Source organism: Homo sapiens, chromosome X (assembly GCF_000001405.40).
Source record: "Homo sapiens chromosome X, GRCh38.p14 Primary Assembly".
Lineage (NCBI taxonomy): Eukaryota > Metazoa > Chordata > Mammalia > Primates > Hominidae > Homo > Homo sapiens.
The window spans coordinates 63493668-63517485 of NC_000023.11; the positions used below are offsets into that span (position 1 = coordinate 63493668).

At 36.5% G+C, this 23818-nt stretch overlaps 1 long non-coding RNA gene across 6 annotated transcripts in view, besides 2 other annotated features; it reads right to left on the minus strand.

The window, feature by feature from the left end:
• LINC01278 (long intergenic non-protein coding RNA 1278) overlaps positions 1 to 23818 on the minus strand; it is a 134538-nt gene that overhangs the window by 67110 nt on the left and 43610 nt on the right. For 2 of the 6 annotated variants that reach the window (NR_152613.1, NR_152609.1), the window contains exon 2: positions 16277 to 16412. The exons of 2 other annotated variants lie outside the window; for them this stretch is intronic. This is a non-coding gene — a long non-coding RNA (long intergenic non-protein coding RNA 1278). Of the gene's footprint in view, positions 1 to 16276; positions 16413 to 23242; positions 23416 to 23818 lie in introns of all 6 variants that reach the window. 2 more of the 6 variants (NR_152610.1, NR_015353.2) reach the window with 2 other exon arrangements.
• Positions 10223 to 10723: an enhancer, noted in NCBI's record as "H3K27ac hESC enhancer chrX:62723770-62724270 (GRCh37/hg19 assembly coordinates)". NCBI's record gives its function as "activates a minimal SCP1, AML or CMV promoter by ChIP-STARR-seq in primed H9 embryonic stem cells {active_cell/tissue: H9 hESC(primed)}" and the evidence as "EXISTENCE:reporter gene assay evidence [ECO:0000049][PMID:30033119]".
• Positions 10724 to 11224: an enhancer, noted in NCBI's record as "H3K27ac hESC enhancer chrX:62724271-62724771 (GRCh37/hg19 assembly coordinates)". NCBI's record gives its function as "activates a minimal SCP1, AML or CMV promoter by ChIP-STARR-seq in primed H9 embryonic stem cells {active_cell/tissue: H9 hESC(primed)}" and the evidence as "EXISTENCE:reporter gene assay evidence [ECO:0000049][PMID:30033119]".

Here is a 23818-nt window from a genome sequence, read left to right on the forward strand (position 1 = left end):
AGGATATTATCCAGGAGAACTTCCCCAACCTAGCAAGGCAGGTCAACATTCAAATTCAGGAAATACAGAGAACGCCACAAAGATAATCCTCGAGAAGAGCAACTCCAAGAACATACTTGTCAGATTCACGAAAGTCGAAATGAAGGAACAAATGTTAAGGGCAGCCAGAGACAAAGGTCAGGTTACCCACAAAGGGAAGCCCATCAGACTAACAGCTGATCTCTTGGCAGAAACTCTACAAGCCAGAAGAGAGTGGGGGACAATATTCAACATTCTTACAGAAAAGAATTTTCAACCCAGAATTTCATGTCCAGCCAAACTAAGCTTCATAAGTGAAGGAGAAATAAAATCCTTTACAGACAAGCAAATGCTGAGAGATTTTGTCACCACCAGGCCTGCCCTAAAAGACCTCCTGAAGGAAGCACAAAACATGGAAAGGAACAACCAGTACCAGCCACTGCAAAATCATGCCAAATTGTAAAGACTATCGAGGCTAGGAAGAAACTGCATCAACTAACGAGCAAAATAACCAGCTAACATCATAATGACAGGATCAAATTCACACATAACAATATTAACTTTAAATGTAAGTGGGCTAAATGCTCCAATTAAAAGACACAGACTGGCAAACTGGATAAAGAGTCAAGACCCATCAGTGTGCTGTACTCAGGAGACCCATCTCACGTGCAGAGACACACATAGGCTCAAAATAAAGGGATGGAGAAAGATCTATGAAGCAAATGGAAAACAAAAAAAGGCAGGGGTTGCAATCCTAGTCTCTGATAAAACAGACTTTAAACCAACAAAGATCAAAAGAGACAAAGAAGACCATTACATAATGGCAAAGGGATCAATTCAACAAGAAGAGCTAACTATCCTAAATATATATACACCCAATACAGGAGTACCCAGATTCATAAAGCAAGTCCTTAGAGACTTACAAAAAGACTTAGACTCCCACACAATAATAATGGAAGACTTTAACACCCAAATTTAAACAAAAGACAGACCAACGAGACAGAAATTTAACAAGGATATCCAGGAATTGAATTTAGCTCTGCACCAAGTGGACCTAACAGACATCTATAGAACTCTCCACCCCAAATCAACAGAATATACATTCTTCTCAGCACCACATTGCGCCTATTCCAAAATTGACCACATAGTTGGAAGTAAAGAACTCCTCAGCAAATGTAAAAGAACAGAAATTATAACAAACTGTCTCTCAGACCACAGTGCAATCAAACTAGAACTCAGGATAAAGAAACTCACTCAAAACCACTCAACTACATGGAAACTGAACAACCTGCTGCTGAGTGACTACTGGGTACATAACAAAATGATGGCAGAAATAAAGATGTTCTTTGAAACCAATGAGAACAAAAACACAACCTACTTGAATCTCTGGCACATATTTAAAGCAGTGTGTAGAGGGAAATTTACAGCACTGAACACCCACAAGAGAAAGCAGAAAAGATCTAAAATTGACATCCTAACGTCACAATTGAAAGAACTAGAGAAGCAAGAGTAAACACTTTCAAAAGCTAGCAGAAGGCAAGAAATAACAAAGATCAGAGCAGAACTGATGGAGATACAGACACAAAAAACCTTTCAAAAAAATCAATGAATCCAGGGCTGGTTTTTTGAAAAGATCAACAAAATTGACAGAATGCCAGCAAGATTAATAAAGAAGAAAAGAGAGAAGAAAGAAATAGACACAATGAAAAATGAGAAAGGGGATATCACCACCGATCCCACAGAAATACAAACTACCATCAGAGAATACTATAAACACCTCTACGCAAATCAACTAGAAAATCTAGAAGAAATGGATAAATTCCAGGACACATACACCCTCCCAGGACTAAACCAGGAAGAAGGTGAATCCCTGAATAGACCAATAACAGGCTCTGAAATTGAGGCAATAATTAATAGCCTACCAACCAAAAAATGTCCAGGACCAGACGGATTCACAGCCAAATTCTACCAGAGGTACAAGGAGGAGCTGGTACTATTCCTTCTGAAACTATTCCAATCAACGAAAAAGAGGGAATCCTCCCTAACTCATTTTATGAGGCCAATATCATCCTGATACCATAGCCTGGCAGGGACGCAGCCAAAAAAGAGAATTTTATACCAGTATCCCTGATGAACATCGATGTAAAAATCCTCAATAAAATACCGGCAAACTGAATCCAGCAGCACATCAAAAAGCTTATCCTCCATGATCAAGTGGGCTTCATCCCTGGGATGCAAGGCAGGTTCAATAGGCGGAAATCAATAAATATAATCAAGCATATAAACAGAACCAAATACAAAAACCACATGATTATCTCAATAGATGCAGAAAAGGCCTTTGACAAAAATTCAACAACCCTTCATGCTAAAAACTCTCAATAAATTAGGTATTGATGAGACGTATCTCAAAATAATAAGAGCTATTTCTGACAAACCCACAGGCAATATCATACTGAATGGGCAAAAACTGGAAGCATTCCTGTTGAAAAGTGGCACAAGACAGGGATGCCCTCTCTCACCACTCCTATTCAACATAGTGTTGGAAGTTCTGGCCAGGGCAATCAGGCAGGAGAAACACATAAAGGGTATTCAATTAGGAAAAGAGAAAGTCCAATTGTTCCTGTTTGCAGATGACATGATTGTATATCTAGAAAACCCCATTGTCTCAGCCCAAAATCTTAAGCTGATAAGCAACAGCAAAGTCTCAGGATACAAAATCAATGTGCAAAAATCACAAGCATTCTTGTACACCAATAACAGGGAAACAGGAAGCCGAATAATGAGTGAACTAACATTCACAATTGCTTCAAAGAGAATAAAATACCTAGGAATCCAACTTACAAGGGATGTGAAGGACCTCTTCAAGGAGAACTGCAAACCACTGCTCAAAGCAATAAAAGAGGACACAAACAAAGGGAAGAACATTCCATGCTCATGGATAGGAAGAATCAATATTGTGAAAATGGCCATACTGCCCAAGGTAATTTATACATTCAATGCCATCCCCATCAAGCTCCCAATGGCTTTCTTCACAGAATTGGAAAAAACTACTTTAAAGTTCATAAGGCACCAAAAAAGAGCCCGCAATGCCCAAGAAAATCCTAAGCTAAAAGAAGAAAGCTGGAGGCATCACGCTACCTGACTTCAAACTATACTACAAGGCTACAGTAACCAAAACAGCATGGTACTGGTACCAAAACAGAGATATAGACCAATGGAACAGAACAGAGCCCTCAGAAATAATGCCACATATCTACAACTATCTGATCTTTGACAAACCTGACAAAAACAAGAAATGGGGAAAGGATTCCCTGTTTAATAAACGGTACTGGGAAAACTGGCTCGCCATATGTAGAAAGCTGAAACTGGATCCCTTCATTACACCTTATACTAAAATTAATTCAAGATGGATTAAAGACTTAAATGTTAGACCTAAAACCATAAAAGCCCTAGAAGAAAACCTAGGCAATACCATTCAGGACATAGGCATGGGCAAGGACTTCATGTCTAAGACACCAGAAGCAGTGGCAACAAAAGACAAAATTGACAAATGGGATCTAATTAAACTAAAGAGCTTCTGCACAGCAAAAGAAACTACCATCAGAGTGAACAGGCAACCTACAGAATGGGAGAAAATTTTTGCAATGTACTCATCTGACAAAGGGCTAATATCCAGAATCTACAAAGAACTCAAACAAATTTACAAGAAAAAAACAAATAAACCCATCAAAAAGTGGGTGAAGGATATGAACAGACACTTCTCAAAAGAAGACATTTATGCAGCCAACAGACACATGAAAAAATGCTCATCATCACTGGCCATCAGAGAATTGCAAATCAAAACCACAGTGAGATACCATCTCAGACCAGTCAGAATGGCAATCATTAAAAATTCAGGAAACAACACGTGCTGGAGAGGATGCGGAGATATACGAACACTTTTACACTGTTGGTGGGACTGTAAGCTAGTTCAACCATTGTGGAAGACAGTGTGGCTATTCCTCAAGGATCTAGAACTAGAAATACCATTTGACCCAGTCATCCCATTACTGGGTATATACCCAAAGGATTATAAATCATGCTGCTATAAAGACACATGGACATGTATGTTTATTGTGGCACTATTCACAATAGCAAAGACTTGGAACCAATCGAAATGTCCATCAATGATAGACTGGATTAAAAAAATGTGGCACATATACACCATGGAATACTATGCAGCCCTAAAAAAGGATGAGTTCATGTCGTTTGTAGGGACATGGATGAAGCTGGAAACCATCATTCTCAGCAAAGTATCGCAAGGACAGAAAACCAAACACCGCATGTTCTCACTCATAGGTGGTTATTGAACAATGAGAACACTTGGACACAGGAAGGGGAACATTGCACACCAGGGCTGTTGTGGGGTGGGGGGAGGGGGGAGGGATAGCATTAGGAGATATACCTAATGTAAATGATGAGTTAATGGGTGCAGCACACCAACATGGCACATGTATACATATGTAACTATCCTGCACGTTGTGCACATGTACCATAGAACTTAAAGTATAATTTAAAAAAAAGAAAAAAAGACATTAAAATTGATACTGCAGAAATCAAAGAATTATTAGATGTCCCTATGAACAACTATACACCAATAAATTGGAAAACCCAGAAGAAATGGATGAATTCCAAAATGCTTATAACCTACCACGACTGAACCATGAAGAAATCCAAAATGTAAGCTGATCACTAAGAAGTAACAAGATAGAAGCCAAAATAAATAGTCTCTCAGCAAAGAAAAGTCCAGGACCTGATGGCTTCACTGTTCAATTTTACCAAACACTTAAAGAGCTAATACCAATCCTACTCAAACTGTTCTGAAACAATGAGGAGTGAATACTTCCAAACTTTCTATGAGACCAGTAGTACCCTGCTACCAAAACCAGAAAAAGACACATCAAAGAAAGAAAACCACATGCTAATATATGATAAACATTATTGCAAAAATCCTCAACAAAATACTAGCATATCAAATTCAGCAACATATTAAAAACATTATTCATCATGACCAGGTGAGATTTATCCCAGGGCTGGAAGGATGGATCCACATATGCTAATCAATCATTGTGTTACATCATATGAACAGAATGAAGGGAAAAAAATGATCATTTCAATTGATGCAGAAAAAACATTTGACAAAATTCAACATCCCTTCAAGATAAAAACTCTCAAAAAATAAGCATAGAAGGAACATACCTCAAGACAATAAAAGCCATAAATGACAGACTGATAGCTAGTATCATACTGCATGGGGAAAAACTGAAAGCCTTTCCTCTAAATTCTGGAACATGAGTATGCCAAATTTCACCACTCTTATTCAACATAATACTGAAAGTCCTAACTATAAGAATCAGAAAAAAGAAAGAGATAAAGGGTGTCCAAGTTGAAAAGAAATAAGTCAAATCACCCTCCTTTGCGAATAATATGATCTTGTATTTGGCAAAACCTAAAGACTCAGCAGAAAATTATAGGAACTAATAAACAAATTCAGTAAAGTTCAAGAATACAACATTAACATAGAAAAATCAGTAACATCTCCATATGCAAACAGTGAACAATGTGAAAAAGAAACCAAGAAAGTAACACAATGTAAAACAGCTACAAATAAAATTTAAAACATTGAAATAAACTTAACTGAAGAAGTCAAAGATTTCTACAATGAAAACTATGAAACTTTGATGAAAGAAGTGAAGAGTATACAGAAAAGGAAATATATTCAATGTCCATGGATTGACAGTATCAATATTGTTAAAATGTCTACACTACCAGAAGCCATCTATAGATTCAATGTAATCCCTATCAAAATACCAATGACATTCTTCACAGAAATAGAAAAAACAACCCTAAAATGTATATGGAAACACCAAAAACTCAGAATATTAAAAACTGTTCTGAGCAAAAAGAACCAAACTGAAGGAATCACGTTACCTGATTTCAAATTATACTACAGAGCCATATAACCAAAACAGCATGGTAATGACATAAGAACAGACACATAAATTAATGGAACAGAACACAGGACCTGGAAACAAATCCAGACATCTGCAGTGAACTCAATTTCAACAAAGGTGCCAAGAACACATGTTATGGAAAGAACAGTCTGCTCAATAAATGTCACTGGCAAAACTGTGCAGAAGGATGAAACTTGATTCCTATCTCTCACCATATGCAAAAATCAAATGAATATGTATTAAATACTTAAATCGAAGACCTCATACTATGAAACTACTAAAAGAAAACATTGGAGAAACTATCCAGTACATTGGAATAGGCAAAGATTTCTTGAGTAATACCCTGTAAGCACAGGCACCCAAACCAAAAGCGGACAAATGGGATCATGTTAAAATTAAAAAGCTTCTGCAGAGCAAAGGAAACAAAGAGCAAAGTGAAGAGACAATCCAGGTTGGGAAAAAAAAAAGTTTGCAATCTCTCCACATGACAAGGGATTAATAATTAAAATATCTAAGGTGCTCAAACAACTCTATTGGGAAAAATCTAATAATCTCATTAAAAAATGGGCAAAAGATCTGAATTTTTCAAAAGAAGACATACAAATGGTAAGGAGGTATATGAAAAGTTCCTCATCATAAATGCTTATCAGAGAAATGCAAATCAAAACTACAATGAGATATTACCTTACCCCAGTTAAAATGGCTTATAGCCAAAAGACAGGTAATAACAAATGCTGGTGAGGATGTGGAGAACAGGGAACCCTCGTACACTGTTGGTGGGAATATAAATTGGTACAGTACTATGGAGAACAATTTGGAGTTTTCTCAAAATACTAAAAACAGAGCTACCATATGATCCGTCAATCCTGTTATAAGGTATATACCCCAAAGAATGGGAGTCAGTATACTGAAAAAATACCTGCACTCTCATGCTTATTGTACCATTTTTCACAATAGCCAATATTTGAAAGCAATCTACATGTCCATCAACAGATGAATATATAAAGAAAATGTGGTAAATATACACAATGGAGCACTATTCAGCCATAAAAAGATTGAGATTCTGTCCTTTGCAATAACTTAGATGGAACTGGACATCATTATGTTAAGTGAAATAAGCCAGGCAGAGAAAGACAAAATTCTTATGTTCTCACTTACTTGTAGGAGCTAAAAATTAAAACAATTGAACTCATGGAGCTAGAGACTAAAACAATGGTTACCACAGGCCAAAAAGAATAGTGCAGTGGAAAGTTAATGGTTACAAAAATAAAGCTAGATAAAATGAGTAAGATCTAGTATTGGATGTCACAACATGGTAACTACAGTCTTCAATAATTTCTTATACATTTTAAAAGAACTAAAAGATTATAACTGGATTGTTTGTAACACAAAGAAAATATAAATGCTTAAATGATTCATATCCCATTTACCCTGATGTGATTATTAGGAAGTGTTTGCTTGTATCAAAATATCTCATGTTCTGCAGAAATATATTCACCTACTAAGTACACACAAACATAAAAAAATTTAAAAAATAAAATAAAAATAACAGTAAATAAAAAATGGGACAAGGACCTGAAGAGACATTTCTCAAATGAAGAAATATAAATGGCCAACTTGCATATGGAAAAAATGTTCTAAATCACTAGTCCGCAGAGAAGTGCAAATTAAAACCACAATGACATATGACCTCGCATTTTTTAGAGTGCCTTTTATCAAAAAGGTAAAAGAATTGTTGACAAGGATGTGGAGAAAAAAGAACCCCTGCACACTGTTGGTGGAGATGTAAATTAGTACAGCCATTATGGAAATCAGTATGGAGGTTCCTCAATAAATTAAAAATAAAACTACTTCATGATCCAGAAGTCTCACTTCTGGGTATATCCAAAGGAAATGAAATCAGTATTTCAAAAGGATGTCTGTACTCCCATGTTCATTGCAGCATTATTCATAATAGCCAAGACATGTAATCAATCTAAGTATCTATTGATGAATAAAGGAAGAATATATTATATATATTAGAATGCATTTTATATTTATATATATGTATACACACACACACACACACACAGTGGAATACTCTTCAGTCTTAAAAAGAGGGAAATTTTGTCTTTTGCAATAACATGGATCAACCTAGATAACATTAGGTAAAGTGAAATAAGGCAGGCACAGAAAGACAAATACTGCATTATCTTATTTGTATGTGGAATCCAAAAGAGTTGAATGCATATAGGTAGTGAGTAGAATGATGGTTACCTGAGACTTGGAGTGGTTACTAGGACTGGGTGTTGGGGGAATTTTTTCAAAGGATACAAAATTTCAACTAGATAGGGAGAATAAGTTTAAGAGATCTATTATATAAAGTGGTTAATATAGCTTTAATGTTTTGAAAATTGTTAAAACAGTAGATTTTCAGTGTTCTCACCAAAAAAATAAGTAGGATATATATATACATTTTATATATATATATATATATATATATATATATATATATATATATATGCATGCTTAATTGAGCCATTCCACTATGTACACATATTTCAAGAGTTCATATTGTATACTATAAATATATTCAATTTTTATTTGTCAATGAAAAAACAAAAACTTCATAAATTTATGAGCTGCTATGGAGGTAAAGGTCTTAGAAAATTTTTAAAAAAGAGATTGGGTAAAATTTTCTTGCTCTAGCTGCAAGAGCATGGCTTTAGGTGTAAAGAGCTGGGAGAAGTACTCTCAATTAGTGAAGAGAAAATGTGAGGTAACTAATGTTTATTTCCATCTTTTACTAAATACTTTAAACAAGGATACACTTCCAATTACATAACAGCTAAACTTGTTATTTACATAATAAATTTTTAAAAACGTAAAAATTTACATTATTACATAATAGCTAAATAGATAATAGCTAAATTTTTTGTACCAAAATGTGTTTTATAATTCACCTTTTGAGGAACTTTATTCTTATCTATATCCAGGATACACTGTGAGGTATCCTCAAAAATAAGTTTTTAAAAATTATTATTATTATTATTATTATTATTTGAGACAGAGTCTCGCTCTGTGGCTCAGGCTGGAGTGCCATGGCGGGATCTCAGCTCACTGCAACCTCCGCCTCCCAGGTTCAAGCGATTCTCCTGCCTCAGCCTTCCAAGTAGCTGAGACTACAGGTGCCCACCACCTCGCCTGGCTAATCTTTGTGTTTTTAGTAGAGACGGGGTTTCTCCATATTGGCCAGGCTGGTGTCAAGCTCCTGACTTTGTGATCCACCTGCCTCAGCCTCCCAAAGTGCTGGGATTACAGGCTTGAGCCACGGCGCCTGGCCTAAAAATTATTTTTTAAAAAACTGCAGCTAATTTAACATCCTTACTCTTTATTCTCATTATATTTTCCTCTTTCTCTATCACAAATTATTACATATATTGACACAATGTTAAATTTTTTTCTTCTCCTTTCTTAACTTAGTGCCTTTTTGTAAAGACAAATTGAAGTTGGAGAGAGAGTAGGACTCTTCAGATTAGATAACAGTATTACAGTATTCACACAACTTAGGTTTAGATACCTTTTATTACACATAAACTGTTATGCTTGTATTTTTGATTAATTTTAAAATGTGGTAAAAAGTAGGAAAAATCACTGATAATCTTTACATATTCAAGATATTTAAGATTGAAAATATTTAGAAGAATAAATTTTGTTTTCAAAGAGATTAAATAAGCCTAAAATAATATATTTTACAGAATTTTTGAGGAATTATATTTATATTTGTAAAAGATTTTAATAGTAAGCTATAGTTAGATAATATATTTCGACAGTAAAGCCACTTTCAAAGAATATCTCAGAGACGCTGGCGTAATTTAAATAGTAACTAAAAGGGCTATGTATTACTTTTCTATGGCTGCTCTAACAATTTATCACAAACTCAGTGACTTAAACAATGCACATTTTTTCTCCTACAGTTTTGAAGGTTAGAAGTCTGAAATCAGCTTCACTGGGGGGAAATCAAAATGTAGGCAGAACCACACTTTCCCTAGAGGGTTTAGGGGATAAAAGACTTTGCCTTTGCAGCTTCTAGAGCTGCATTCCTTGCATTCCTTAGCTAGAGACTCCTTCCTTTGTCTTCAAAGCCAGCAAAATAGCATCTTGCTTCACTGGTAACACACTGTCTTCTGTCTCAAATCTGCCTCTGCCTTCTTCTTATAAGGACACTTATAATTTCATTCAGGGCCCACCCAGATAATTCGGAATAATCTCACCAACTCAAGATCCTTTAATTAATCACATCTGCAAGGTCTCAGTTACCTTATAAGGTAACATGCACGGATTCCAGGGATTAGGACCTGGATATCTTTGGAGTCATTATTTGTCCTACCACAAGCTAAAATCAATTTCTGAAATTCATGTAAAATCTGTTGAAGGCACAGCACATCTCTGAATATAAATGGTTATTTTAATAGTCTTCTAAAATTTTCTTTTAAACACCAATAATTGCAATCTGCTTATTTTTCATGTAGAAAAATATTTTTTTCTCCTAAAATTTGCATTTGAATGATACCTTTTTTTTTGAGAGAGAGGGGCGAGTCTTACTCTGTCACCTGAGCTGGAGATCAGTGGCTCCATCTTGGCTCCCTGCAACTTCCGCCTACATGGTTCAAGTGATTCTCCTGCCTCAGACCCCCACATAGCTGGGATTACAGGCACGTGCCACCACACCCGGCTAATTTTTGTATTTTTAGTAGAGATAGGGTTTCACTCTGTTGGCCAGGCTGGTCTTGAACTCCTGACTTCAGGTAATTCACCAGCCTCAGCCTCCCAAAGTGCTGGGATTACAGGTGTGAACCACCACGCCCAGCCTGAAAGGTACTTTTACACATGTTAAAATCCACAGCTAATTACTCTGTAAATATTTAATATTAAATTGTGACTACCAATTTTAAAAACAAGATAGAAAAAGTTGAAATCATGCATCACATACAAGAAATGAATCCTTACTCTCACAGCCCTTCCACAACTGATGTCAGACTCTTACGTTAGTTTCTTTTTTCTTCCCCTTGATAATTTTCTCTAATCTCCTTTACTATTTAAATTTTCTCAAAACCCACTTCACTCTAATGCCATTATTCCTGTAGATGTTTGTCCTCTGACTACCTCTCCATTATTACTTCCTTTCCTACTTTTTTCATACCTTGCTTTATCCTCATGGAAAACATGTAAATCATTTCAACAAACACTGATTGGGCCCTAACTTTATGCAACTGCCTATCCTAGGGACTTCTTAGGCATAGTAAGGAATAAGAAGTAGCCCTTAAAAGGCTCATGCTATCTCAGAAAGGGAATAAGACAGGTGGAGTCAAAGACTAGAGCAAGCTCTATATAATGCAGGCAAACTCTGGAAGATGTATGATCCTATTGGGAGGATTATGCTTAATTTCAATGTTCATAATCAAATAATTTGTCAGGAGTGGGAATGGAGAGAAATAAAACACAGTAACACCAAGCGTCACTATTCTTTGCATGAACCCTGCCCACCATCTGCTCATCAATATGCTTCTGCCTACAGAAGAAAAGTTAACACTTTTGTAGAAGAATACGAGCTCTTTCAAATTATCAGACTCAGAGAGGCATTAAAGTAAGACAATAATCACATCCTACTCCCCCCTTTTGAGCCATTTATTCAACTATTAAAACTGCTTGGTAGCTATGAAGTAGCTATGAATTAACCTAATAATGTGGCACTGGACACTATATCCCATACCCTATAGCTTAACAATGTATAGCCAATCACTAATCAATGTTATTTTTGTAAACCAGTGAGAATTCCTGACAAACAACTTTGTATCAGCCAACTCCCTGTGCCTCTTCTTTGCCTTTAGAAATCTGCTCGTAACAAAGGCCCAATGGAGCTCCTATCCTAGGTTACTTGGCTCTGAGTTTTCCCAGCAGCTGCCCTTACTTTGTCTGAAATAAAGTCTTTCAATCATATTTTGTCCTTCACTCTCCTTCTTTTAGGGTGACATATCTGGTGCTGTGAGCAGAATTCAGACACCTCTGACCATCTGACATTCCTCCTTGACTCAGCATTTGGTCAGCTCTGAACCTCTTGATTTATTTTGACTCTTTGAGAAAGTATTGAATGTGAAGTGTTGAGGCCTACTGAAATCTGGTCCTTCCCACTTTTTGGTTGAAGGTCTAGACTCTGCTTGAGGTGTTTTTTTCCAAACCTCACTTTCCAAACCTCAAAATTGAGGTTTTCCATCTTTACCCTAAAGGTAAGGTATTTGGGTTACAAGCAAAACAAAAACAAAACTGACTCTTCTGCCTCTGGCTCATGATAGGAGGTCTGGGTCACAGTCAGGCAAACAGCTCCCCAGAGAACTTCAGCCTTTTCTACCTCTGTCCCACGGAAGTAAGGTCTGGGTCAAGGTATTGGAAATTAGGCACTGGTGGTTTCATTTTAATAGCATGCTTTTTAATATTGCAGCAGTTGCTTAGAAATGCAGACCTACCTTTTCATTTGTGACAAATTCCTGTTAGTTCCTAATGGAAAAATGCAGAGGGTGAGTTCTCTTGCCCCAAGGAAAAGAGGAGATTTGCTTCCTCTGGCCCATTTGGGTGCTGCAGGTGACTGAAGACTACACCAAGGTGTCAGGGTCATTAACCATGACGCAACATGAAGTAGCCTCATGGGGCCCTCCCCCCCAGAAGAACATCTTTATGAACTCCCTTTTCTGCTCTTCCATTAGGATATAATATGAGGGACTGGTCCCCTATATGTTGAGTACCCTGCTGCCACCCAGCAGTTAGAAACAGACTAGGATACATAAGAAAGCTATTCATGACTCTTGGGTGACATCTAGAGGAGTGATGTTCATAAGAAGCATACTTCAAACACAAAACATATTCATGACCTTGGTAACTTTTGAAAAGCTCCTAAATTATGGGAAATCAAGCTTCAAACTCTGAACACTCTTTTAAGCAACAACTGCCATTAGAAACACATTTTCCATTTCAGCTCTAACTGCTCCTTCTTCTCCTACCCCTGCATCTTCATATTCTCCTTCATCTGAACTTTCCTGTCTTGCTTTACTTCTTCTAGCATCAGTACCTGAGGGAACTTTCCATGTCTCCGATCCCCTCCCTTAAACTTCCATTCTGGCAGCCTTTTTCAAGGTGTGATTGTACAGCACCTCTTCCTGTACGGAAGAGGTGGGTCTAATACCCCTTGGGCAAAAATTGAATTTAAGAGTGTTATCAAAGGCTTCCCTGACCTGTTCCAAGATTCTATATGGTTTGCAAAAGAATTTGATCTGACTCTTTGAACTTATGAGCCTGGATATTCTGACCTATATCAATTAATTCACATGTTGGTGTCAGAAGGCAAGGCCATTGGGTGGTTAAAAAAGGCAAACTGAAATAATCCTTTAGAGGATTTTCAAAATCAGACTGAAGCAGACCATGAAGGGGTCTGCATTTTGTCCAAGTCTCTCCATGATGCCATTCCCCAGGTCTTTCCTTTAAAAAAATGTATATTGGAAGCGAGTTGAGCAATGTACTCAAAAGGCCAGATGAATCTGTAGTTATTTGGAATGGCAATGAGATAAGCTTTCAACAATATTCCAAAGTGGTTGACACTAGCCTCCAAGATTACCAGAACAATTTTCTCATAAACTCTACTTTCTTCAATTGCTTAAATGAGGACTTGGTTACCTTAGTTAAAAGACACCAGTTTCTTAACTGGGTGAATATACAAACCCATGAATTAGTAAGCTTTCAGAGCAAAATGATTCAGAAAAAAGATAGAATTAATGCCTCAAAGATTATTAATTTGCACCTCAACAACTGGCTAGTTAAACCAGGCCTTTTAAGAAAAGACAAATGCCTCTTTCTAATGATAAAAGAGGTGTCTGCTTCTATTTCAAAAAGTCTGGCCATTTCGGAAAGGATTGTAGAAAACTTAAATAATAGCAGGAACAACAAAAGCACAGGATGCCATAAGATGAATAGGGTTGCTCTGAGGATCAAAATGGGATTTTCCCATTAGGAGAAGTGGAAATGCTCATAAATGGAGAACAGACATGCACCCTCATAGTCACTTTATGTCTTCAACCCTACACCCCTTAAATTGTCCCCTTCCTCAGAGTAATAAACTATACAAACAGCAGGGGTATCTAATCAACCTATGACTGTATATAAGTCCAAATCCTTAGAATTTCATGAAGGCTCATTGAGTAACCTTCATTCCTTTCTGCATGGTCCCTTGGCTCCTATACACCTCTCAGGCAGAGATTTTTTGGAACTTTGCAATACATACATTTCCTTCTCTCAGAAAGGTGAAATGTTAAATTCAGAGTAGAAGGAGCTAATGGAACAATTACAGAATGAGAATTAAACTACTGAGATTATAAAACTACGGATCTGACATATTTTTTCTAAACCAAGAATAGGAAATGGCACTAATGATTTATTGCAAGCTTTGCTGGACCACTTATGGTCCCAATCTTCCATTAACATTAAGATATATTCAACTACTGGCTGGGCGCAGTGGCTCACGCCTGTAATCCCAGCACTTTGGGAGGCCGAGGAGGGTGGATCACGAGGTCAGGAGATCGAGACCATCCTGGCTAACATGGTGAAACCCCGTCTCTACTAAAAATACAAAAAATTAGCCGGGCGTGGTGGCAGGTGCCTGTAGTCCCAGCTACTCGGGAGGCTGAGGCAGGAGAATGGCGTGAACCTGGGAGGCGGAGCTTGCAGTGAACCGAGATCGTGCCACTGCACTCCAGCCTGGGTGAAAAAGTGAGACTCCGTCTCAAAAAAATAAAAAAAAAGATATATTCAACTACCCCCATTAAAGTGAAAGTAAACCTGCTTAAGATTTACCCAATATTAGACAATACCCATTAGGGTCCGAAGCAATGGAAAGAACCAGACCTATAATAAGGTATAATTATTCCTTGTATCAGCCCATATAACATTCTGACCCTTTCCATAGGAAGCTGAACGGGAAGGGCTGGCATTTTCTGTAAGATTTGAGAGCTATCAACAACGCTGTGGTCCCAAGACATCCGATGGTACAAAACCCCCATATTCGTTTGGCAGCAGTCCCTCCTGAAAGTAAGAAATTTACTGTGGCTGATTTGCGCAGTTTTTTTTTTTTTAAAGCATTCCAGTAGAGCCAGAGAGTCAATATTTATTTGCCTTTACTTATGACAACTGCCAGTATTCCCAGACCTTTATGCCCCAAGATTATAATGAGAGCCCTACCAATTTTTCTCAATTATTGAAATCTGACTTGGCTAATGTATATTTCTCAGAGGGATCTATACTTGTCCAATATGTGGATAATCTTTTCCTTTGTTCTCCAAATATGCAAACTTCTAAGGATGATAGCATAAATTTCTTAAAATAATTGGCACCTAAGGGACATAAAGTTTCTAAAAAGCAACTCCAATTTTGCCAGACACAGGTAAAATATTTAGGATATTTTATTTCTAAGAAAGGATTGCTCATAAACCCAGACAGGATTAAAGGCGTCCTGCTTTACTCTAAGCCCTCAACAAAGAAGCAACTTTGAGGATTTCTGGGATTGGCTAGATACTGTTAAAATTAAATACATATTTTTTCTTTAATAGCTCACCCTTTATATACCCTCCTGGAAATGGATCAACCTGATCTTTGTGTTTGGACTTCAGAGAGACTAAAAGCCACATAAGTCATCAATGAACATCTTATAACTAGCACCTGTCTTAGGTCATCCTATTGACAGCTTTTTCTTTCCCCTGTTCATTCATGAAGACAAGGCAGATGCCCTGGGAATACTAACTCAGAAACATGGGGATTATAATGCACCCGGTGGATATTACAGCCGGCAACTTGATGCAGTTGCTAGGATGCCACCTTGCTTAAGAGCAATCTCTGCTACTGCTACCCTCTTTAGATATGGGATCCTCTTTCACCATGTACTTAACTCATACAGTGGAAACACTTCTGAACTTCTTTCATGCCCAACATTACTCTGTTTATATAATAGAGTTGTTTCTTATGCAGGTCTTCTTCTGCCCTCACCTAAGGTTACCATTTCCTGTTGTTATAATATTAACCCAGCCACTCTTTTGCTTTTTCCTACTGACAAGACACCACACTACTCTATCATCCTGACCAACCAAATTCTTACACTTCAACAGGACCTACAAGAAACAGTTATAAATAAAGCTGATGTAATTTGGTTCACTGATAATTCTTATTTGAAAGATAAATCTGGAACTTACAGCGATGTTTATGTCATTGTGTCTCTAACTGGGATTATAGAGAATAATCCTCTTCCAGATGGGGGAGAATAATCCTCTTCCAGATTATTAAATCAGCTCAGCAGGCAGAATTGAAGTAGCCCGTGATTGTGGAATGCTGTGGAAGCAACGTGGATATCTGATCTCATCAAGTCAACCCATCAAAAATGGTCAACAAGTCTCCGACCTCTTTGAAGCAATCCCTGAACCCAAATCATTGGCCATCATCAAAATCTCTGGTTATTCGACATTAGAAACTCCAGAGAGTAAGCACAACCATTTCACTAACACTTTAGGTAAGCATGCAGCCCTGAAGGTTATATCAGGCATGTCTTGAAATGACCTTACAAACTTACTACGCATTTACAATTTTACAAGCACAAATGGGAGCTCCTAAGAAGGAGATAGAGCTCTGGAAAAATAAAGACGGCAAGTTGTCCCCAGAAATGGGCTTATGTTATGGACTTGATGATAGACTGATCTTTCCCTTAAGGCTTCAATTACATGTCTTACAGTATGTTCTTGAGCTCACTCATTGAAATCTAGACAAAATGATAGCATGAGGAAAAAAAATATTAAAAACTATATCCTGCTATTGCACAAACAATGTGTTCTCACTGTACCGTTTGTCCCAAACATAATCCTGCAAATCCCCTTCATGGGTCACAGGGGCATTTTCCTTCAACTTTGGATCCTTTGAGATATTGTAATTGGACTTTATCCAGCTGCCTCTATCTCAGGGTTACCAGTGTGTTCTGGTATTAATTTGCGTTTCTGTCATTGGGGGTTGAAACATTTCCATGCTGACAAGTCATGGCCAAAGTAATAGGAAAAGTGTTATTAGAAAAGTTTTTTTTTTTTTTTTTTTTCCATAGGGAGTTCAATCTGAGCTCCATGGCGACTGAGGAACACACTTCACTGGTCAGGTAATTTTATCTATTTGTAACATTTGGCCTATATTCCATCATTTCTGTTGTGCCCATCACCCCCAATCCTCTGAACTGGTGAAATGAACAAATGATATTAAAAAGCTCAATGCAAAGCTAACAGAAATTTTTAACTTTCTCTAGCCAGCACCTCTCCCATTAGTTCTGCTCAACCTACAATCCACCCCACTCATAAAACGTCAAGTCTCTTTCTTTGAAATAATAACAAGAAGGCCTATGTGGCTAGATAAAAGAGCTTATGAACCTGTACTTCTTAAAGGTGATATCCTCCATTATTGCCAAGGTCTCACAAAACTTCCTACCATAAATTCCAAATTAATAAAGGATTCCTTTCGCAATGAGCTCCAGGGAGATAAAGGTAACAGAGACCATGGCCTACAACCTGGAGATTTTGTTAACTGAAAACAACATCAAATAAAAGATTCCCTGCAACCCCACTGGAAGGGATCATATCAGGTATTGACCAATCCTTGTGCTGCCAAAGTTAAGGGTGTTGACTCAAGGATTCATGTTTCTCATTTTATAAAAGCGGCTCTACCAGAGTGGACATTTTCTATCACCAGACATGCTCAATTAAAGCTGACCTGCAATCTTCCTGATCAGCACCGCAAGTAACTGACATTTGCTGTAGTCTGCTTCTGCTTAAGATACTGGTTCAGGCCTGTATAACCAGTTCCTCATGATTCCAATGATTACTGTGCCTGAAATTTTCATCTCCTTTTTCTGTTGACCGGAATATTATGTTTTTAGGCTGCCTTCATATTGTAGGAATCCTCTCTTGGTGGTTTTGGTAAAATAATCATATATATATATATATATATATGTATATATATATATACACATACACACACATATATACACACACACATATATACACATTTATATACACACACACACACACACACACATATATATTAAGATATAGCATACTAGTCTTATTGTTAATATATGTACTTTAGCAACATGCCCATGATCAAGCTTCAGTTTTTACTGTCCCTAATTAATTGAATTACAGCATGGAGAAATAGTTCTCTGGTTCATATCTCATAAACTGCTATTACATTTGGAAATCTAACAAGATGCTGGGTTTGCCACCCTAAACCACCAACAACTTTCGACGACAGTGACCCATTGCTACATTCTGTCCTAAATGCCACCAGTATTTCTAATTGTACTCATAACCCAATTCAGGGGTCACATAAAACAAAACCAAATAGGTCTGTCTGATTCATTCTAACCTGCCATGTTTCAATTTAACCCATCAGAATCTCACAGTCAAAACAACTGCTGCCTCACTCTGAAATGACAGTGGTAAAAACCATGATGCTGCTAGAATGTTAAAAGAAAAACAATCGCTCCTGCTATCAGGATCCAGTCTTTTCTCTTGATCTAACATTTCTGACCCATGGTTTAAAAATGTCCCAAAACTGATATATTGAAATTATAGTACACTCACCTCTACTCCACTAGGATTTACTTTTGTCTGTGAAGGAGATCACAGACATTTACTTTTGTCTGTGAAGGAAATCACAGACATTTACTTTTGTCTGTGAAGGAGATTTTATATCCATGGATATAAAAATATCTAAGGGCATAGAATGAGGAATAGTAGTGTCTTTTAAAATACTTGGTTTTATATATATATATGTATGTATATATATATATATGTGTATATATATATGTATGTATATATATATGTGTATATATATATGTATGTGTATATATATATGTATGTGTGTGTGTGTATATATATATATATATATATATATATATGGCTCAGAAGAAATCCAATATTGGACTAGTTCCTTCAAACTTTTCTCTGAGCATGACTAATGATCTATTTGAGATAAAGATTCTATTTGAGGGGAACCTGTTAATTATCTGACGGACCATCAAGAAGATAGTTCCATGCATGCTTTTGGAAGAGTGTTTTTGCCTTGGCGGGTTGTTGCTTCCCATTAACACATGATTAGAAGTCTTTCTATAACCTTAGGAAAGATTGCTAATGAAACTGCTACTTCTTCAGCAAATCAAAAAAACCTACTAATTCACTAGCTAAGGCTGTACTAGAAAATCACATTGCTTTATATATTAGCTGAACAGGGATGTATATGTGTGGTGGCAAATATTCTTTGTTGTGTATACATAAACACTTCCTATGAAGTAGAAACTCATCTATGGAAAATTAGAAAAGAAGCCACTTAACTATAGCAAATCTCTAAAGAAGAACCAGCATTTAATTTTCTTCCTGATGTTTTAGTTTGCTCCATGAGGAAATAGTTTCCCTTTTTCTATTTGGCATATAAATTTTCTTGCTGATTATAATTCTTATGTACATTACATTTTTATTATCCAAATTATTAATGTTATGTATTTGTCATTTCTTTTCATTTTCTGAGAAAACTACATTCATGGTTCTCCAAAGAATAGAGATTATTCAGCAAGTGACACCAGCTGTATAGATCAGTGACTTGACAGGTCTCATTTTTTGCCACTCTGTGATACCATCCCAATTTGGCTTTTGGGTGCTTTTCAAAATTCCTTGCTGAGATGTCTCCTTTCCTTCCCTCTACCTAGCATGGAATGAGATTACCAGGGAATGTGCTTTCCCAATGATGAGGGACATCTTCACGCTGGGACTTTGAAAGAACTATCCAGGAATGAGCTTTTCCAGCAATGAGGGACATCTTGACACACAGATTTTGATCATCAATGTTTTCAAGAAGAAACACTTTTTATCAAAAAAGAGAAATGAGTAAAGAAAAGAACTTCTATCTGAGGAATGTGAGCCCTTTCAAATTATCAGGCCCAGAAAGGCATTCAAATGAAATAACAATCACATCCTACTTCCCCCCATTTGGAGCTATGTATTTATCTATAAAAACTGCAAACTCTTGCCACAGGTAGCTACAAATTAATCTAATAATGCTACACTGGACACAATATCCAACACCCTATACCATAAAAATATATAGCCAATCAATAATCAACGTAATTTCTGTAAACCAGTGAAAATTCCTGACGAACAACTTTGTGATAGCCCACTGCCTGCCATTTTTTGCCTTCAAAAACCTGCTTGTAACACAGGCCAAATGGAGCTCATATCCAAGGTTACTTGGGTCTGAGTCTTCCAGGCAGCTTTCCTTACTTTGGCTCAGGTTAACTCTTTCAATCATATTTTGTGCTTTAGCCTCTTCTTTTGGGATTGACACCAGGCAGATGTATCTGAGACACAGAAACAACGTCTCATAGAATCTCATATCTCTGAAGGTTTGTTACATTTTTTACTTATTTCAGTAAAATTTTCAGAAAGTTTTTGGAGGAAATAATTGAGGAGTTTCACTGGAAAACAATGCTTTCCCCAGAGAGCATAAAATAACATCCAGCAACATCTGGCAGTTTTGGCTATATCTCAATGAGCTTTGCTTTGGCATGGCCTCAAGGAAAAACAAATAAAAAGCATTGCTGAGACAACTGCTTAAGGTCGGAGCATTCCAAATGGCAGAGGAAGCCATGATCTGGCCGCTGTGGAATGAAGTATGATGGGAAGAGAGTGATGTGTGTGAGCTCAAGGTGAACTGTCAGTATAATGGCATAGATACACTATCAAAGTGTGCCAAAGATCCATTCCAATAAAAACATTCACTATTGCCTCAATACACCTCAATGCAAACATCCATGCCTCTTTGTATCAGTAGCAGAGGCAGAATTTCCTTTCTATTTTTCCCACTTTTGTTTAAGACACAGTAATTCCATGTCTTTAGGCCTGAATTTGATTCCTTCCTCTTCTTCAACTCTCATATCCAATAAAGTATATTGGAAATCTCTGATTTAAAATACTTTGACTTGTGCTCCCTCTCTTGTGGCCAAAATTCCACTTAGATTGCCTAATAACTGTGCTGATGTTAAAAATGAAGCCCAGATAACTTCTTACTCTATCAGTTGCAATCACTGACAAGCCTGTCTGCAGCTAACTACTATAGAAATGGGAGAGAGCAAGAGATCAGGGAAGAAGACATTGTCTTGGAAACTGCCTCTCTCCAAATATGTGTATATGTATAAAATTGCAAATAACAATTCAAGCAGAAATCCCTAATTTTGAATTCAGTCCAAAGATTCTTGAACAATGAATTGCTCCAAGGCATTGTCATTCCCAATTTCACTGGATTCATATTTAAGTATCCTCAGTTGATATACATAATATTTATCTGAAAGAAACATAAGCAGCTTTTTTACACTAATTGATTTTATGTATTTAATAATCATCTGTAAATGAATATAGATGTTTTATTTAATTTTCATTTCTTTTTATTATCAATTTTGATATTTCATTGTATTAAATGGGTTTCTAGGAATTTTATGTCAAAATATTACTTCGTCCTTCGGGAAATAAGCATCTGAGTTAAGGACTGACTTGAAATCATTGTCAAAGAAATAACTGAGGCTTAAATTAGGAGACGTCTCTAGTGTAAAGAACCTGGAATGAGCCAGGAGATCTGGATTCCAGTTCCTTTTGAGAAGCTAAAACACTGTGTGATCCTGGCCATGTCTCTTAACAGTTTTGGGCCTCAATTTTTCTAAGCATAAAATGAGCATTTCGATAGTATTATTTTTAAAGTTCAGGTGGAGTTTTTCTCTTTTCTACATTCCTCAGTACTTATTTATAACATGCATTAGCATTCAAGTTATTGCTGTCTCTAAGTGCTTAAACTTCCTAACTAGAATATAAATTCCCTGAGGCAGAAGATCTGTACTTCCAGAACACCTTCAGTGTTTAGCAGTATTGGACATATAGTATGTATGGCATACAATCACCCAAGATAAGTGAAATTTAACTGGGTTGGCTTAACTACACAGCTACTGCTTCTCTACTTTTGTCCTCAGTTTTGCACTGTAAAAAAAAAAAAAAAAAAAAAAAACCTTTTTGTGTTTTAGTTCAGGCTATTATGATCAAACTCCAAATGTATTCATGTATACCCAATCCACAAAGCTAATTTACCAACTGGAATCTCAGTTTATTCTTTTAACATGACCATTGTAAGTTCCAAGGGAACATTTTCTGCAAATTACAGCATACAACGGGATGCTTCCTAAAAACAGTTGGCACAGCAGAATACCTGAATATCAGAGAACAGCACTAAGCAATAGGGGCTGCTAGAGCAGCAGGAAAGAACTTAAGAAAAATTATTTTGCTGAGAGAAGGTAGTTATCAGAGAACATATAAAAATTATTTTTCCTCTATGGAAATCAAAGAAATGTAAGATGAAAAAAGAATAGTATATCCTGTTTTAGCTGGTTGTGCTAAGTATAGATGAAGACATACACAGCAGAATTTAGTAGAACTTAGACTCTCTGACAGTTGAGAACAACAGTGAATTTGACAATGTTTTCTAGACCAAGTATATATTTTTGTACTGATGAAGAAATTTTCTAAATCATATTATGCAATAATTTAAAAACAACTGCCCTGATTATTTGCAAACATGGTCATATTCACCTTGGCACATGCCCATTTGAGGAATATTCCCTAATTTAAAAAGAGAAAAAAACCAAACAAATGTAATTTGAATTGACTATAAAAATATCTAGAGAGAAACAGCAGCTACATTAATATTAATTCTAAATTTAAAACAAACTAAACATTCAATCCAGATTTCATTAGTGGTGAGTGGCTTTTAATCTGAGTATTACTTTTGGGTATCTATATCATAAATGTCTTCAGGAACATTTAATCAATGCCTCAATTCCAAAAAGATAAAGCTTCTTTCTATTTTTTTTATGAAAAAAATGCATTACAATACAGTTTATTATATTAGCAGTTAATAGAAAATCTGGTATAGTTGCCAATAGCTTGAAAGACTTTAAAGATAAAACTAAGGGGACAAGGAGCCTTTTAAAAACAGTATCAACCATTCTGGACAGTCAAGAAAAAAAGGTAGTATTTTTTATGTATACAAGACAAAGGTAAGAAAAGAACCTTTTCAAAACAGCAGGACCTTACCTGGGAGCAAAGGAAAGCATATAATATTAGATAGGAACTTTTGCTCATGCTAACACTTTTCAGTCGGTATCTGTGGGGGCACAGAAGCTTTCTTCTTCCATTTGCCTTTCTCTACAGTCTCTTTCCAAAACAACTCATTTTCTAGCAAATTTCAGCTGAATTTTCTTCCATACCTGAAATAATTAAAGACACTGATATTGTAACTTAATATGTGGTAACTAAAGACATGGATATTGACATTGGCAAATCCTGCAATGATTCTGCTCTACGTTGATTTAAGCAATAAATCGTGGCTCCCATAATGACCTTCATTACTCCATCATGTTATTCCATAAGATCCATGTAACTCAGAATGATGGAATGAAGAGAAGAAAGGATAGGAAAAAATACAATGAAATACTAGGTACTTTTGCTTTGTTCGCCATTAGCCTTAGTGCTGCCACTAGGCTTTAATTAAGAGTAATAAGGGAAACGTTCTTAAGTCTGCATTACTCTCACTTAGTAGGAGTGCTTACAGTAATAACCTAAAAAGTTTACTCTGTAAAAGATGTTATGCTACTACATTGGTCTCTTCTC